This window comes from Homo sapiens, chromosome 13 (genome assembly GCF_000001405.40).
Source record: "Homo sapiens chromosome 13, GRCh38.p14 Primary Assembly".
NCBI classification, from domain to species: domain Eukaryota; kingdom Metazoa; phylum Chordata; class Mammalia; order Primates; family Hominidae; genus Homo; species Homo sapiens.
In genome coordinates this window covers 24,823,840-24,841,006 of record NC_000013.11, presented here as the reverse complement: position 1 = coordinate 24,841,006, position 17,167 = coordinate 24,823,840, and the positions used below count along the sequence as shown (strand labels likewise).

At 38.4% G+C, this 17,167-nt stretch overlaps 1 protein-coding gene across 17 annotated transcripts in view; it reads right to left on the bottom strand.

The window, feature by feature from the left end:
* Positions 1 to 17,167, bottom strand: part of RNF17 (ring finger protein 17) — a 140,815-nt gene that overhangs the window by 47,575 nt on the left and 76,073 nt on the right. For 12 of the 17 annotated variants that reach the window (XM_011535156.3, XM_011535152.3, XM_011535158.3 and 9 more), the window contains 4 exons: positions 15,235 to 15,388; positions 14,896 to 15,042; positions 10,408 to 10,523; positions 9,029 to 9,149 (listed from right to left, as the gene is read on the bottom strand). In XM_011535156.3, coding sequence (XP_011533458.1) covers positions 9,029 to 9,149; positions 10,408 to 10,523; positions 14,896 to 15,042; positions 15,235 to 15,388 — 538 coding nt within the window. Of the gene's footprint in view, positions 1 to 9,028; positions 9,150 to 10,407; positions 10,524 to 14,895; positions 15,043 to 15,234; positions 15,389 to 17,167 lie in introns of those variants that run through there. The other 5 variants (XM_011535159.3, XM_011535160.3, NM_031277.3 and 2 more) reach the window with 2 other exon arrangements.

Below are 17,167 nucleotides of genomic sequence, written 5' to 3'. Positions count from 1 at the left end.
TAGCTGCTAGTCAGAATGATTCTAAATAAAAAGCTAACCATTACCAACAGCAACATTCTATATTAACCAAGTTATAAGAGTTATAACAGTATACATTTAAAAGTTTTTAAAAAATTTTTTTCCATTAAGTTATAGGGGTACACGTGGTATTTGGTTAAACGAGTAAGTTCTTTAGCGGTGACTTGTGAGATTTTGGTGCACCCATCACCCAAACAGTATATACTGCACCGTATTTGTAGTCTTTTATCCTTCGCCCCCCTCCTACTTTACCCCCAAGTTCCTAAAGTCCATTCCTTTGCGTCCTCATAGCTTAGCTCCCACATATCAGTGAGAACATACGATGATTGGTTTTCCATTCCTGAGTTATTTCACTCAGAATAATAGTCTCCAATCTCATCCAAGTCACTGCAAATGCTGTTAATTCATTCCTTTTATGGCTGTGTAGTAGTCCATCATTCATATTCACACACACACACATATATATATGTATAAATCACAGTTTCTTTATCCACTCATTGATTGATGGGCATTTGGGTTGGTTCCACGATTTTGCAATTGTGAATTGTGCTGCTATAAACATGCGTGTGCAAGTGTCTTTTTCGAATAATGACTTCTTTTCCTCTGGGTAGATATCTAGCAGTGGGAAGGCTGGATCAAATGGTAGTTCTACTTTTAGTTCTTTAAGGAATCTCCACACTGTTTTCCATAGTAACTGTACTAGTTTACAATCCTGCCAGCAGTGTAGAAGTGTTCCCTGTTCACCCCACGCATGCATCTATTGTTTTTTGATTTTTTGACTATGGCCATTTCTGCAGGAGTGAGGAGGTGGCATCGCATTGTAGTTTTGATTTGCATTTCCCTGATGATTAGTGATGTTGAGCATTTTTTCATACCTTTGTTGGCCATTTGTATATCTTTTTTTGAGAACTGTCTATCCATGTCCTTAGCCCACTTTTTGGTATTTTTTTTTCTTACTGATTTGTTTGAGGTCATTGTAGATTCTGGGTATTAGTCCTTTGTCAGATGTACAGATTGTGAAGATTTTCTCCCACTCTGTGGGTTGTCTGTTTACTCTGCTGACTGTTCCTTTTGCCATGCAAAAGCTCTTTAGTTCAATTAGGTCCCAGCTATTTATGTTTGTTTTTACTGCATTTGCTTTTGGGTTCTTGGTCATGAAATCCTTGCCTAAGCCAATGTCTAGAAAGGTTTTTCCAACGGTATCTTCTAGAATTTTTATAGTTTACACTGTTAGATTTCAGTCTTTAATCAGTCTTGAGTTGATTTTTGTATAAGGTAAGAGATGCGGATCCAGTTTCATTCTCTTACCTGTGGCTAACCAATTATCCCAGCACCATTTGTTGAAAAGGGTGTCCTTTCCCCACTTTATGTTTTTGTTTGCCTTGTCAAAGATCAGTGGCTGTAAGTATTTGGGTTTATTTCTGGGTTCTCTATTCTGTTTCATTAGTCTATGTGCCTATTTTTGTACCAGTACCACACTGTTTTGGTGACTGGCCTTATAGTATAGTTTGAAATCAGGTATTGTAATGCCTCCAAATTTGTTCTTTTTGCTTAGTCTTGCTTTGGCTATGTGGCCTCTTTTTTGGTTCTATATGAATTTTAGAATTGTTTTTTCTAATTCTCTGAAGAATGATGGTGGTATTTTGATGGGGATTGCACTTAATTTGTAGATTGCTTTTGGCAGTATGGTCATTTTCACAATATTCATTCTACCCATCAATATGGGTACCATTGCAATATGATAGAATCAGATGGATTCTACCCATCCAATATTGATTCTACACATCCATGGGATGTGTTTCCATTTGTTCATGTCCTCTATGATTTCTTTCAGCAGTGTTTTGTAGTTTTCCTTCTAGAGGTCTTTTGACTTCTTGGTTAGTTATATTCCTAAGTATTTTATTTTTTTGCAGCTATTGTAAAAGGGGTTGAGTTCTTGATTTGATTCTCCACTTGGTCGCTGTTGGTGTACAGAAGAGCTACTGATTTGTGTACATTAATCTTGTATCCGGAAACTTCGCTGAATTATTTTATCAGTTCTAGGAGCCTTCTGGAGGAGTCCTTAGGGTTTTCAAGTTAAACAATCATATCATCAGCAAACAGTGACAGTTTAACTTTTTCTTTACTGATTTGGATGCCCTTTCTTTCCTTCTCTTGCTTGACTGCTCTGGCTAGGACTTCCACTACTATGTTGAAGAAGAGTGGTTAAGAGTGGGCATCCTTGTCTTGTTCCACTTCTCAGAGGGAATGCTTTCAACTTTTCCCCATTCAGAATTACGTTGGCTGTGGGTTTGTCATAGATGGCTTTTATTACATTAAGGTATGTCCCTTGTATGCCAAATTCCTGGGAGTTTTAAGCATAAAGGGATGCTGGATTTTGTTGAATGCTTTTTCTGCATCTATTGAGATCATGTGATTTTTTATTCTGTTTATGTGGTGTATCACATTTATTGACTTGCATATATTACATCCATCCCTGCATCCCTGGTATGAAACTCACTTGATCATGGATTACTTTTTTGATATGTTGTTGGATTCGGTTAGCTAGTATTTTGTTAAGGATTTTAACATCTATGTTCATGAAGGATATCAGTCTATAGTTTTCTTTTTTGGTTGTGTCTTTCCTGGCTTTGGTATTAGGGTGATGCTGGCTTCATAGAATGAATTAGGGAGGGTTCCTTCTTTCTCTACCTTGTGGAATAGTGTCAAAAGGATTAGTACCAATTCTTCGATTGTCTGGCAGAATTCTGCTGTGAATCCGTCTGGTCCTTTTTTTTGTTGGTAATTTTTAAATTACCATTTCAATTTTGCTGCTTGTTATTGGTCTGTTCAGGATATCTAATTCTTCCTGATTTAAGCTAGGAGGGTTGTATTTTTCCAGAATTTATCCAATCTCTTCTAGGTTTTCTAGTTTATGTGCATAGAAGTGTTCATAGCAGCCTTGAATGATCTTTTGTACTTCAGTGGTGTCAGCTGTAATATCTCCTGTTTCATTTCTTAGCGAGGTTATTTGGATTTTCTCTCATTTTCTTGGTTAATCGTGCTAAATCGTGCTAATGGCCTATCAATTTTATTTACCTTTTCAAAGAACCAGCTTTTTCTTTCATTTATCTTTTGTATTTTTTGTTTGTTTCAATTTCATTTAGTTCTGCTCTCATCTTGGTTATTTCACCAGGTTTGGGTTTGGCTTGTTCTTGTTTCTCTAGTCCTTGAGATGTGACCTTAGAGTGTCAGTTTATGCTGTTTCAGTCTTTTTGATGTGGGCATGTAGGGCTAGGAACTTTTCTTAGCACCCGCCTTTGCAGTGTGCCAGAGGTTTTGATAGGTTGTGTCATTATGTCGTTCAGTTTGAAGAAATTTTTAATTTCCATCTTGATTTTGTTTTTGACCCAATGCTCATTCAGGAGCAGGTTAATTTCCATGTATTTGCATGGTTTTGAAGGTTCCTTTTGAAGTTGATTTCCAGTTTTATTTCACTGTGGTCTGAGAGAGTGCTTGATATAATTTCAATTTTCTTAAATTTATTGAGGTCATATGGTCTTAGAAATTTCCATACGCTGTTGAATAGAATGGGTATTCTACGGTTGTTGGATGAAATGTTCTGTATATATCTGTTAAGTCCATTTGTTCCAAGGTATAGTTTAAATCCAGTTTCTTTGTTGACTGTCTTGATGACCTGTCTAGTAATGTCAGTGGAATATTGAAGTCCCCTACTATTATTGTGTTGCTGTCTATCTTATTTCTCAGGTCTATTAGTAATTGTTTTATAAATTTGGGAGCTCTAGTGTTAGGTGCACATATGTTTAAGACTGTGATACTTTCCTGTTGGACAAGGCCGTCTACCGTTATATAACGTTCCTCTCTCTCTCTTTTAACTGCTGTTGCTTTAAGTTTGTTTTGTCTGATATAAGAATAACTACCCTTGCTCGTTTTTGGTGTCCATCTGCATGAAATGCCTTTTTCCACCCCTTTAGTTCAAGTTTATGTGAGTCCTTATGTGTTATGTGAGTCTCCTGAAGGCAGGAGATGGTTGGTTGGTGAGTTCTTACCCATTCTGAGGTTCTGTATCTTTTAAGTGAGCATTTAGGCAATTTACATTCAATGTTAATATTGAAACGTGAGGTACCATTGCATTCATGGTGCTCTTTGTTGCCTGTGCACTTTGGTTTTGTTTTTGCTTTTTAACTTGTATTTTTGTTTTACAGGTCTGGTGTGATTTATGCTCTGAAGAGATTCTGTTTTGATGTATTTCCAGGATTTGTTTCAAGATTTAGAGCTCCAAAATTTTAGTAGTTCTTGTAGTGGTGGCTTGGTAATGGCGAATTCTCTCAGCCTTTGTTTGTCTGAAAAAGACTGTATCTTTCCTTCATATATGATGCTTAGTTTCACTGGACAGAAAATTCTTGGTTGATAAATTGTTTTGTTTGAGGAGGCTGAAGATAGGCCCCCAATCCCTTCCAGCTTGTAGGGTTTCTGCTGATAAATCTGCTGGTAATCTGATAGGTTTTCCTTTATAGGTTACCTGGTGCTTCTGTCTCACAGCTCTTAAGATCCTTTCGTCTTAACTTTGATAACCTGATGACAATGTGTCTGGGCAAAGATCTTTTTGCGATGAATTTCCCAGGTCTTCTTTGTGCTTCCTGTATTTGGATATCTAGGTCTCTAGCAAGGCCTGGGGAGTTTTCCTTGATTATTCCCCCAAATACATTTTCCAAGCTTTGTGCTTCTTGTATTTGGATGTCCAGGTCTCTAGCAAGGCTGGGGAAGTTTTCCTCAATTATTTCCCCAAATATGTTTTCCTGAGGAAGAAGAGAAGTCTATGGTTTGGTCGTTTAACGTAATCCCAGACTTCTTGGAGGCTTTGTTCATATTTTCTTTTTTCCTTGTCTTTGTTGGATTAGGTTAATTCGAAGACCTTGTTTTCGAGCTCTGAATTTCTTTCTTCTACTTGTTCAATTCCATTGCTGAGGCTTTCCAGAACATTTCGCATTTCTAAAAGTGTGTCCAAAGTTTCCTCAATTTTTGATTGTTTTAAGCTATTTCCTTGAATATTTCTCCCTTCACTTCTTATATTGTTTTTTGGATTTCCTTGCATTGGGCTTCGCCTTTCTCCCTGATTAGCTTAATAACTAATCTTCTGAATTATTTTTCAGGTAAATCCAGGACTACTTCTTGGTTTGGATCCACTGCTGGTGAACTAGTGTGATTTTGGGGGGGTATTGAAGAGCCTTGTTTTGTCGTATTACCAGGGTTGGTTTTCTGGTTATTTCTCATTTGGATAGGCTCTGTCAGAGGGAAGGTCTAGGGCTGAAGACTGTCGTTCAGATTTTTTTGTCTCATGGGGTGTTCCCCTGATGCAGTACTCTTCCCCTTTTCCTATGGATGTGGCTTCCTGTGAGCTGAACTACAGTGATTGTTGTCTCTTTCTGGGTCTAGCCACCCAGAGAGTCTACCTGGTTCTGCGCTGGTACTGGGGGTTGTCTGCACAGAGTCCTGTGATGTGAACCACCTATGGGTCTCTCAGCAGTGGATAGCAGTGCCTGTTCCCATCGAGGTGGCGATGGGGTGAAATGGGCTGTGAAGGTTCTTAGCTTTGGTGGTTTAATGCTCTATTTTTGTGCCAGTTGGCCTCCTGCCAGAGGTGGTAATTTCCAGAGAGCATCAGCTGTGGTAGTACGAGGAGGAACCGGCGATGGGCGGGGCCGTAGAACTCACAAGATAATATGCCCTTTCTCTTCAGCTACCAGGGGGGGTAGGGAAGGACCATCAGGTGGGGGCAGGGTTAGGTGTGTTTAAGCTCAGACTCTCCTTGGGTGGGTCTTGCTGAGGCTGCTGTGGGGGATGGGGGTGATATTCCCAGATCACTGGAGTTGTGTGCCTAGGAGAATTATGGCTGCCTCTGCTGAGTCATGCAGGTTGTCAGGGAAGTGGGGGAATGATGGCAGTCACAGGCCTCACCCAGCGCCCACGCAAACCAAAGGGCCAGTCTCATTCCCACTGTGTTCCCCCCATCAGCCCCAAGTCTGTGTCCAGGTGGAGAGCAATATGGATTTGAAAACCTGCCCCAGGCTATCTGCCTCCCAGCTGGGAAAGAAAAGGGCTTGGTTCTTCCCCTGCCTGTGGAGTCTGCACACCAGATTTGTACCCTCCCCTGAGTTCTGGCCAGGAGGCTTCTCACCCTGTTCAAATTGTTACCAAGTTCAGCTAGAGATTTCCTTCTCCCTGTGGAGTTTTACATCCTGCTCCTCTCCCACTGAATCCCTGTGGCACCAGGCAGGAATGGGCTGCTTGGGGGCCCAGTGAGCTCCCAGGGCCTTTCTGCTGCTTCTTCTACCCCTATATTTCGCTGGGATCTCTAAATTGACTCAGCTCCAGGTAAAGTTGGAAACTTCTCCCACAAACAGACCTTCAGCTTCTCCAGTGGAAGTGTGTTTTCAGGAGAGGAGGGTCTCCCTTTCCCACTTCTGCAGTTGGGGTACTCAGTTTTGGGGGCTCTCCCGGGTCCTCCAGGAGCAGTCCGCTTCCTGCAGAGGGTTTGTTGCTTTTTTGTTGTTCTTGTTGTTGTTGTTAATTTGAGATGAAGTCTCGCTCTCTCACCCAGGCTGGAGTGCAGTGGCACAATCTCGGCTCACTGCAACTTCTGCCTCCAAGGTTCAAGTGATTCTCCTGCCTCAGCCTCCAAGTAGCTGGGAGTAACAGGTGCGTGCCACCATACCCAGATAATATATATATTTTTTTATTTTTAGTAGAGATGGGGTTTCACCATGTTGGCCAGGCTGGTCTCAAACTCCTGACCTCAGGTGATCCACCCGCCTCTGACCTCCCAAAATACTGGGATTACAGGCATCAGCCACCACACCTGGCCTAAAAAGCTTTTTTACCAGGAGTTGAAAAAAAAAATTCCTGGCTACTTTTCAATGTTCCAGATAAATTATCTAGACACAAAAGGCTAAGCAACACTGAGCCTCAATAAACTTTGATCTCCCCTGCTTTTCCATCTCTTGTGTTAACTTTAGTTCTTTGGTTTTACACTTCTTATGCAAAAAGTTCTTTATTCCAATAGGGTCAACTTTCTCTGTGTTCTGTACCTTTATCATCTTCCCTGCTCTCCTCTTAATCAAATATAAATGTTCCTTGCTTTCTAAGGTAACACAGCACGTATTAATGGCAGGTTCCTGTTCTCAGCTGTGGTAGTTCACTTTATTATAAAGGTCTTGAACTCACAATTTTACTGCTGTGCAGGTGAATGGGAAAAGACAGTTTTGGTTGGGCAAGGCCTTCTGGCACTCTTTAAATAAAATAATCTAAGTTAATAACTATGCCACAGCTAGTGTTTAGATGTCACTGGTATTAAATAATTATGTGAGAAAGAAAGAAGAGGAATCAAGAAAGAAACCCAAGAAATCTTGATTGACTGTCCATGGGAAATTATTCTAGGAGGGGGCAAAAACCCCACGAAACATGATTCCTAAAGGAAGGCTGGAAAACAGTTATACAGGTTAAAGTTGGCTCAAAATCAGTGGAGACTGTTCAAGGACCAAGAGGTCTTTAATTCATTTGTTCATTTCAGAGAAGCTAGATAGAAAACTTCTATAGCCTAAGGATACAGTCTGTATAATCACATTCCTCTTAAATGACACTATTTCTTTAGAACAATTTCTTGTTCTGAAGTAAATAAATTATCAGAGATATACTATCATTTCTAGCTTATGACTTTGAGCAATTCATTTCTAGGCTCCAGTTTCCTCACAGTGAATAGTCCAATAGTCTTACGATAAAGGAAAGGCATGGACACAGTAAAAACTACCCCTGAAAGTCCTATACATCTATGCTAAGTAAACATGGTCTCATGTATCCTGCACTACTATTCATTAAGCCCAGCCCAGCCAGTATGTGTTACAACTTTGGAACTGATCAAAATATCAGATGAAAAACAGATTCCCAGTCAGGCAAAGTGGCTCACACCTGTAATCCCAGAACTTTGGGAGGCCGAGGAGGGAGGATCGCTTGAGCCCAAGAGTTCGAGACTGGCCTGAGCAACAAAGTAAGATCCCATCTCTACAAAAAAAATTTAAAAATTAGCTGGCCATGGTGGCATATGCCTGTGGTCCAAGCTACATGGTAGGCTAAGGCAGGAAGATCACTTGAGCCCTGGAGGTTGAGGCTGCAGTGAGCCATTGTTCACACCATTGTACTCCAGCTTGGGTGACAGAATGAAACCCTGTCTCAAAAAACAAAAAAACCAAACCAGATTCCCAATCCCCCTATCTAAAACCCTTGGGGCCAGGCATGTTTCAGAATTCAAAATTCGTCTAATTGAGAAAAGCTACTCAGCACCTATCGTGTATATGTATCTAATACCCCAGCAGAGTCTGGGGCAGCAGCCCACAAACATTATCTTGAAGTAAAATATGAATATTCACTATAAACGAGATAAAAACTATATACAGCCTCATGCCAATTCAGAACCAATTTTGCTGCTGAACTTTTGATTTTCAGAACTTGTTATGTTACAAAATCGTGGGCTAGTGGTCAGACTCTATTTTGGTCCCAATTGCTCTAAAAAAGGAATAACTTTTTTCAAATTATGCTGAGAACCCACAGTTGAATTTGTTTAAGCCAGTGAGACAAAAAACAGCAAGGAAAAGCTGTTTACCAATCATGTCCCACCTCCCCTCACTTTCCTGGAAATTAAACGTTAGCATCCACTATGTTAAGGACAAGGACAGAGCCCTAGCAAAAATGCAAACAAATAAAAGAAGCTAATTCCTGGCTTTAGGGCTTTCAAGGGGCCATGTCAAGGGTGACTTGATCTTTTATGGTGATTTTTGTCCTGATGACTTTAGAGTCCATAAAAGATATAATTCCATTGTACCTAATTCTCAACAAATCTTATCTCTCACCACCACTACTGATGGCACACTGAATTTATTCTAAAATTTGACAAATGTTATTCATATTATTATTTAAAATTATATGTGATTACATAACAAGTAAAAATGGAACTTACTGATAACTGAACATGTCATAAATTTATCTTGAGCCTTTTCTTCAAATTTTTCTTTAGCTTCTTTGGACCACTGCATTGTCCTTTTATATGGTTCAATATAGGCCAACTTACATTTAATTGCCTGTGTCAGACAAAATTCCACCATTAAGAAAAAAATTTAATTTCTACCTACTTTAGAATTCAAGTTTTATTAAGTGTGTACAAAACTAATCTTTATGTTTGAATTTCATACATATTAGAAATAATCAAATAATGTGTGAAGGTGTCTGTAAAAGTACTTTATAAACACAAATCATTGAAATCAGCACAGTATTTGGCTGAATGAACTGTTGTACATTCACATACTGGAATAACAAGCATTCATTACAGACACTTATGATACATTAATTACTTGTAAAAAGCAGGTTACAGGATGATTTATAGTCTGATTCTATAACTGCTGAAAGCACAGAAGATGTATCTGGAAGTACAGATATCAAAAATATTGAACAATGATTCTGAGTGATTCTCCCTTTTGCTCATTTGTTTTTTTTCTTTGAGACCGAGTCTTGCCCTGTCACCCAGGCTAGAGGGCAATGGCATGATCTTGGTTCACCGCAACCTCCGCCTCCCGGGTTCAAGCAATTCTCCTGCCTCAGCCTCCTGAGTAACTGGGATTACAGGCACACACCACCACGCCCAGCTAATTTTTTGTATCTTTTTAGTAGAGATGGGGTTTCATCATGTTAGCCAGGCTGGTCTCAAACTCCTGACCTCATGATCCCCCCGCCTCGGCCTCCCAAAGTTCTGGGATTACAGGCATGAGCCACTGCGCCCAACCTGCTCATTTGTATTTTAAAATTTTTTTCTATAATACTACACACTTCCTAAAATGAAAAACATGGCTTAAAAACAACTCAAACAACAGTATATAAATTAGAAAACAAGGCTCCTTCTTACCCTTCTTTCAGAATACTACTCCTCCCCAGAGATAAACAAGGTTCAGTTTTTTACATATTCTCCCAGGTTTCTCTATTGTACACACATATATACTTAAGTATAAATATGATCACAGTAGAAGTACTTCTGAGATAAGCATTTTTAACTTGATATATCATGAACGTGACTCTTACCACAATATATGATCTCAAAATGATATATTAAAAGCTGCCAACAAGTACTTAAGACACAACTATACCTGATTAATGTTTAATACGCTTATTTGCCATGATATACATATTATTTCCTCAATAGTAACCACAGCAACATTTATCTATAGTCCCTGTATCAGCAACTAGACAAAAAGGGACACTAACATTTCTATGATGACAATAGCTTCTAAAAATACTTCCATATTTGTGCTGATATTCTAGCCCTAGAATTCATAATAAATAAATTACCTTCTCTGGGGCATTCAGAAACTCATCCTTTATTTTACGCACGTCTTTGATTGTTATTTTTGCAGTATTACCAAAGTCCACATATTTAACTTCAACTTCCTGATGTCCAGGCAATCCTTGAAAAATTATGAAATTAGAAATTACAAACTTGGAAACAGAATTATCTAGAAAAATTTAGATTGGTTTATGGCCAACTAGATTAGAATACTTTTAGCTTCAATATACAAACTTAATACTTTTTAAAATGTAAAAAATATTTCAAATATGTGAACCCCGAAATCATCCATAGTGCAGACTTATAAGAATGAAAAACTAGTATGCTTTAAATATTCAAAGGATAGCCAAAATCAGGATAACAAAATTATATGGCAGGTGGTATGACTTAAAAGTTAAGAATCAGGCTTTGAGTCAGACTGACCAGTTTTGAACACTAGCTCCGTCACTAAAATTCTATGTGACCTAAAGCAAGCTAATTAATATCTCTAAGATATTACCCTGAGCAAGTTACTTTTTCTCTCTAAGCCTCATTACTTCATCTGTAAAACGGGTATACCAATATAATCTAACTTCATGAGATGTTTTTGGAGGATTCGCCTATTTAAAAAGCACAAGGTACAAAGTAAGCACTTAATACATGTTTACTGTGAGTCAACATAGGTGATAAAACAAGGCAAAAGATTCAACAAAGATTCATTCATATAACAGTATCTGTGAAATTTTGAAAAAATATTGTACTTGGGGCATATTGCAAAAAAACAAGTAGAGAGAGACCTCTGTACCAGTCTATTCTCTATACTTTAAAGAAATCTCTGGAAGTTTCAAACACAGAGAAGTTTTTAAAAAAGACGTATCACACACTAACCTTTTTGAAAATACTCAAAATACATAGTTTTCAAACTTAAAGACTAATACAGTATCTGTCATTTCAATATGCAAAAAAATCCAGTATTCTCTGCTCCTTGGGAGAAGTAGAAGCAAGTGGCACAGCACTAGCACTCATTCAAGATGACACTTCAAACATAGGCCCTATGGTAGGAGATATCCATGATAATTGAGAAGATAAGTGTTATTATAAAGCCAAAAGATGGGGGAACCTCTCCCAACTTCCACTGGAATCCCCTTGCTAGAAGGATGTTCTCAATTCTGCCAATGCCATTAGATTCTTACTCTTCCTAAAGTCTCTGAATGGAAATGTAGTTTTAAACAAATAGATGGATATGGAAAGTAATTTAAAGAATGTTATTGTTTTATCTAAATTATCACATGAGAACAGAGTCAGACATGGAAGGTCTCAAATTTCCCCATTTATGTTCTCTGGAGAAACTATGGGAAGATGGCTCCATGCGAAAAAGGGAATTAAACTCAAGAGGTAAACATGGCATCCAGAAAACAAGGGATCCAATACTGGAGGACAATGAAGTGTATAGCCAACTGAAATACATTTCCAGAATAAAAAATGTGTAGTAAGGCCTAGGGGGTAAGCAGCCCAATTGGAGAAGATAAAGGATGTTTTTGGCCACATGTGATGGCTCACACCTGTAATCTCAGTGCTTTGGGAGGCAGAGGCAGGAGGATCACTTGAGCCCAGGAGTTTGACCCCACCTCTACAAAAAAAATATATAAATTAGCCAGGCGTGGTGGCAAGTGCCTATAGCCCCGGCTAATCTGGGGGCTGAGGTGGGAGGACTGCTTAAGCCCAGGAAGCAGAGGTCGCAGTGAACCATGATCATGTTCCACTGCACTCCAGCCTGGATAACAGAGTAAGACCATCTCAAAAAGGATGTTTTCATGCTTAAAAAAAAAAAAAATCAAACTAACATTTATCATATGGAAAATGGTTTTGAACTATTAAAAATACACTCACAAATTAAAAGAAAATAAAGTGAAAAGTGAACATAATTATGAACTCACAATAGAATTTTAAAAAGTATACTTTATGGCTTTATTTACACAGAGTATGAATTTAATGAAAAATTGTGATACAACTATAGAAAAGAGAAAAAGGAGGACAAAAGGGCTATGGAGATCCAAAATTTGTCTGACAGAATAACAGGTAATATCTAAAACTGAAGTGTCAACTGAAGTATTACATATTAGAAGAAGGAACACAAGTAAACAACGAAACAGCTGAAAGAATGAAAAGTAATTGCCTTCAAGGAGGGAAGTGGAGTGTGTCTTTTAGCATTAACTTTTAAATTAGGCAGATAAAAAACAAAAGAGCTACTATTCACCAAACCAAGTATCATCTTCAAGAGGGAGTTCAACAGGACCACAGAAGATACAGGAAAATGGGCCAGACAAATCACACATACATTTCTATTAGCACCCCAAAAGTGGTGCTAATAGAAATGAAGAAGTAGAATGAGCACCATGCACACTCCATCTTCCCCAAATGTTACTACTCAAAGATTTCAGAGGCCTTATTGTTCACCAAATAGATAACATTTTCAAGCCAATAATCCTAATTTGAAAAGCAATTGCAAAGTCCTTAGTGTCATGAAAATGCTTTTGTTTGCTCCAAAGATATTTACGAAACTATACAGTGGTATCTTCATTGCAATCACTGGAATGTTTTTGTCTCAAAATTCATGTTGAAACTTAATCCCTAATGCAGCAGTACTTGGGAGGTGATTGAGTCATGAGGGTTCTGCCCTCATAAATGTGATTAGGTGCCCTTATAAAAGGGCTTGGTGAAGGGAGTTTGCCTTCCTTTTTCATACTTCTGGCATCAGAGGATACAGTGTCTCTCCCCTCTGGAGGATGCAGCAACAAGGCACCATCTTGGAAACAGAGACTAAGCCCTCAATAAGACAGTGCCTTGATCTTGGACTTTTTTAGACTCTAGAACCGAGAAGTAAATTTCTATTGTTTTTTTTTTTTTGTTTTTTTTTTTTTTTTGAGACGGAGTCTCGCTCTGTCGCCCAGGCTGGAGTGCAGTGGCGGGATCTCGGCTCACTGCAAGCTCCGCCTCCCGGGTTCACGCCATTCTCCTGCCTCAGCCTCCCAAGTAGCTGGGACTACAGGCGCCCGCCACTACGCCCGGCTAATTTTTTGTATTTTTAGTAGAGACGGGGTTTCACTCTATTGTTTATAAACTACCCAGTCTATAGTATTTTATTACAGCAGCACAAAACAGACTAAGACATTCATAAGAACCACATTTGAAAATCTGTAGTTAGTTCAAGTCACTAACCATTAACAAAATTAAAATCAGTGGTGACAAATGAAGGATAGAAAACTCAGGTTGCAAGAATAGTTTTGATACAAACAGAACTGATTATATATTAGGAATAATTTGTAAAGATCTTAGATTACCTTAATAATGGAAAAAACATTTTAAACAGTATCAAACTAAAGTAAAAAAAATTGCCCGGCACAGTGGCTCATGCCTGTAATCCCAACATCTTTGGAAGGCTGAGGCAGGCAGATCACTCGAGGTCAGGAGTCTGAGACCAGCCTGACCAACATGGCGAAATCCCATCTCTACTAAAAATACAAAAAAATTAGCCGGGCGTGGTGACTTCTCTTTTTTTTTTCTTGAAACAGAGTTTTGCTCTTGTTGCCCAGGCTGGAGTACAATGGCACAATCTCAGCTCACCGCAACCTCCGCCTCCCAGGTTCAAGTGATTCTCCTGCCTCAGCCTCCTGAGTAACTAGGACTACAGGCATGCACCACCATGCCCAGCTAATTTTTTATTTTTAGTAGAGACAGCGTTTCTCCATGTTGGTCAGGCTGGTCTCGAACTCCCGACCTCAGGTGATCTGCCTGCCTTGGCCTCCCAAAGTGCTGGGATTACAGGCGTGAGCCACCGCACCCGGCCTTTTTTTTCAGACAGTCTTGCTCTGTCGCCCAGGCTGGAGTGCAGTGGCGCAATCCCAGCTCACTGCAACCTCCACCTCCCAGGACCAAGTGATTCTCGTGCCTCAGCCTCCTGAATAGCTGGGCTTACAGGCACACACCACCATGCCTTGCTAACTTTTTATTTTTAGTAGAGACAGGGTTTTGTCATGTTGGCCAGGCTGGTCTCGAACTCTTGGCCTCAAGCGATCCACCCACCTCAGCCTCCCAAAGTACTGGGATTTACAGGCATGAGCCACCACACTGGCTTTTTACTCTTTCAATTAAAAAAGGACATATCTACAAACTAGAAAGCATATAAAAGAAACAACACAATGGGTTAAACTGCCTATGGTATATCTAATTTCATAACCCACAAAAGCTTAGTCTGTAATGTTCTGTCTTAGTCAATGCTGGGGAATAATAAACTTTATTATTTTTGTTGCTAATACCTCCATTTTCATAAATCTTCTGTCTTCAATCCCACTTTTTATTCTTCCCATTATTTCATAAGTTGAATCAATTACTTAAGGAGGATGTAGAAAAAGTAGAAAAAATATATCGAGAAAACTAGCAGTTCAGTCAATAATTCCCAGGAAAGAAGAATATATTAAAATTGAAGGGAAGCAGAGAGGACACAAAGGACTCACCTTTAATTTGTACCTTGACAATCAAAATAGCATGGGACAGACAAACAGTCAACATCAAACTAGAGTTCACCGGTTTTTGAATAATTAATTTCTGTTGCTTTGTTCTATCTATACAACTTTTCCAGCAAGATTCCCAATGGTTAAGTTCTAGTCAAGTCAAACAAAATATCAGAAGATAGATTCACCTTTCAACATTATCACTAGCTTTTCTAAAGACAGATGGCAGAGCAAATGATAAGATCAAATAACATTACTTCCAAGATTGAATTGGTACCAACTCAAATGATATTAGTTTTGAAGTATGACATCTCCCTGTAGAAACAGCATGCATTCTCCTACCGATAACTTTTGCTCGGTACCAAATTCCATCTTCAAATTTAGCTACACAGGCTTGATCTTGAACTGGACAGAGGATTTCCAGATTTTCTCCATCTTCACTTTTATAGAATTCCTCGATTGTCTTTAATAGAAATAAAATATCCAGGCCCTCTATCTAGTAAATAAAGGGATAAAGCACTGTCATTTCACAGAAACTTAAAATGTAAGTGTTGAATGAATTACAAGCACTGTCATTGAAATTATGAAACATTAAAACTTGAATTGAATGTAAATCTATCAATTGTGTTACGTAATTTATTTTACAAAATTTTATTGCAGAACCAGTATAGAAAATTAGTATAGACATAAAAATAAAGTCACATTCTGCTAGACAACTTAGTGTATATATTCTTCAAGATATTTTTCCATACATACACACACTCACTGTATATGTTTTTACCAAAACTAGACTTTACCACACATACAATCACTTACATTTTTCTATCATTTCTCACTTGTTCTATTTCAGTAACTGTTCCTACTAGTATTTCTAGCTCACATTTAGTTTTCCTTAACTGATCCAAACCCATTACAAACCAAGATTATATACTGCTTCTGATTGTTATCTCCATAACACTTTTATAATCTAGTACAGTCCTCTGCTTTTAATGAACATGTCTTGTTGAAGACAGCCAGCTTATTTTTCTGCAGAATGCCCCATACCTTATGGATTTATGTGGTTATATCCTCATGCTGCTATTTAGCTTATTCTTCCATAGAGTAAGGTCTATCTGCTGAATTTTCCAAAGGCTGAAAGTTACTCCTAAGGGTTTGATGGATCCAAGGCAAATCTTTTTGGCTAGACTGTGTCATAGGTGGCTTTTTCATACTCAAGTTGCAACACATCAAGGCCTAATACTTAATGACTACTAATATGCTAAGATTCATTTATCGATTGCAGTGATGATCCTGACCCCTCTCAATGTGTATAGTTCTGTTTATGCCCTTGTAATAACGAAGTCTTAAGAATTTATGTGGTGCTACTTTGGCATTATATGAATATCCAGTATCTTATCAACCATCCATCTTAATGTGAATTGATAATTCTTCCTTAAATCAATGATTCAGTAAGGTTTGTGGAATGATTGCATTCTTTAGTAATACAGACTTTTCTCTTATTAAATGGTGCTATCTATTATAATCAAAAAAGTTTCTAAAGTTTCCTATACTACCAAAAAAATCAAGGATTATAAGTTTATTTCTCCAAATACCAATTCTTAATGTTAAAAAATATTTTGAAATCTATTTCAATGGAAAAAATGAATTTTTTTCTTGTGAGTATAATGATGCAAGTGAAAATTTTCTGAATCCTTATCTTGTTATTTCATTTAAATTACTTTAAAACTACTTTTAACTTACCTTTCTAAGTAGATATTATGCAAATTCTTCCATTAACAGGTAAGCCAGAGTGAACATTTAAAAATTCAGCAGAGGAATGACGCCAACAAAATAGATTAGGAAGCTTTAAGTTCTTCTTCCAATACAGAAACATTGAAAAAATGAGAAAGTGTCTCAACCAACTTTATTAGATCAGATCTCTACAAAGCAATCCAAAGTTTACAGTAACCAAGAAGCCTAATGAAGTAAAAGCAATTTTCTAAATGGTAGGAAAGTTTTGTGGTATTTTTACTTGCCTCACCCTACCCTCTTCCCAGAATGACAATGGTCTTGGTCTTAAGCAGTGGCAGTCCAGTTCTCAGTTCCCTCCCCTGAACCAGAGGGAACAGACCAGAACTTATATGCAAATTACTGTGTATATGTATCCTAAGTCCGGGAGATACCTGCAAGACTGATGCAAAGAGCTAGTTTTTGTTTCATATAACTTGGAACACAGGCAGGAAGAACTGCAGGGACCACTTGTAAACGTGGCAAAGGGGAGTACCAAGCACAGATG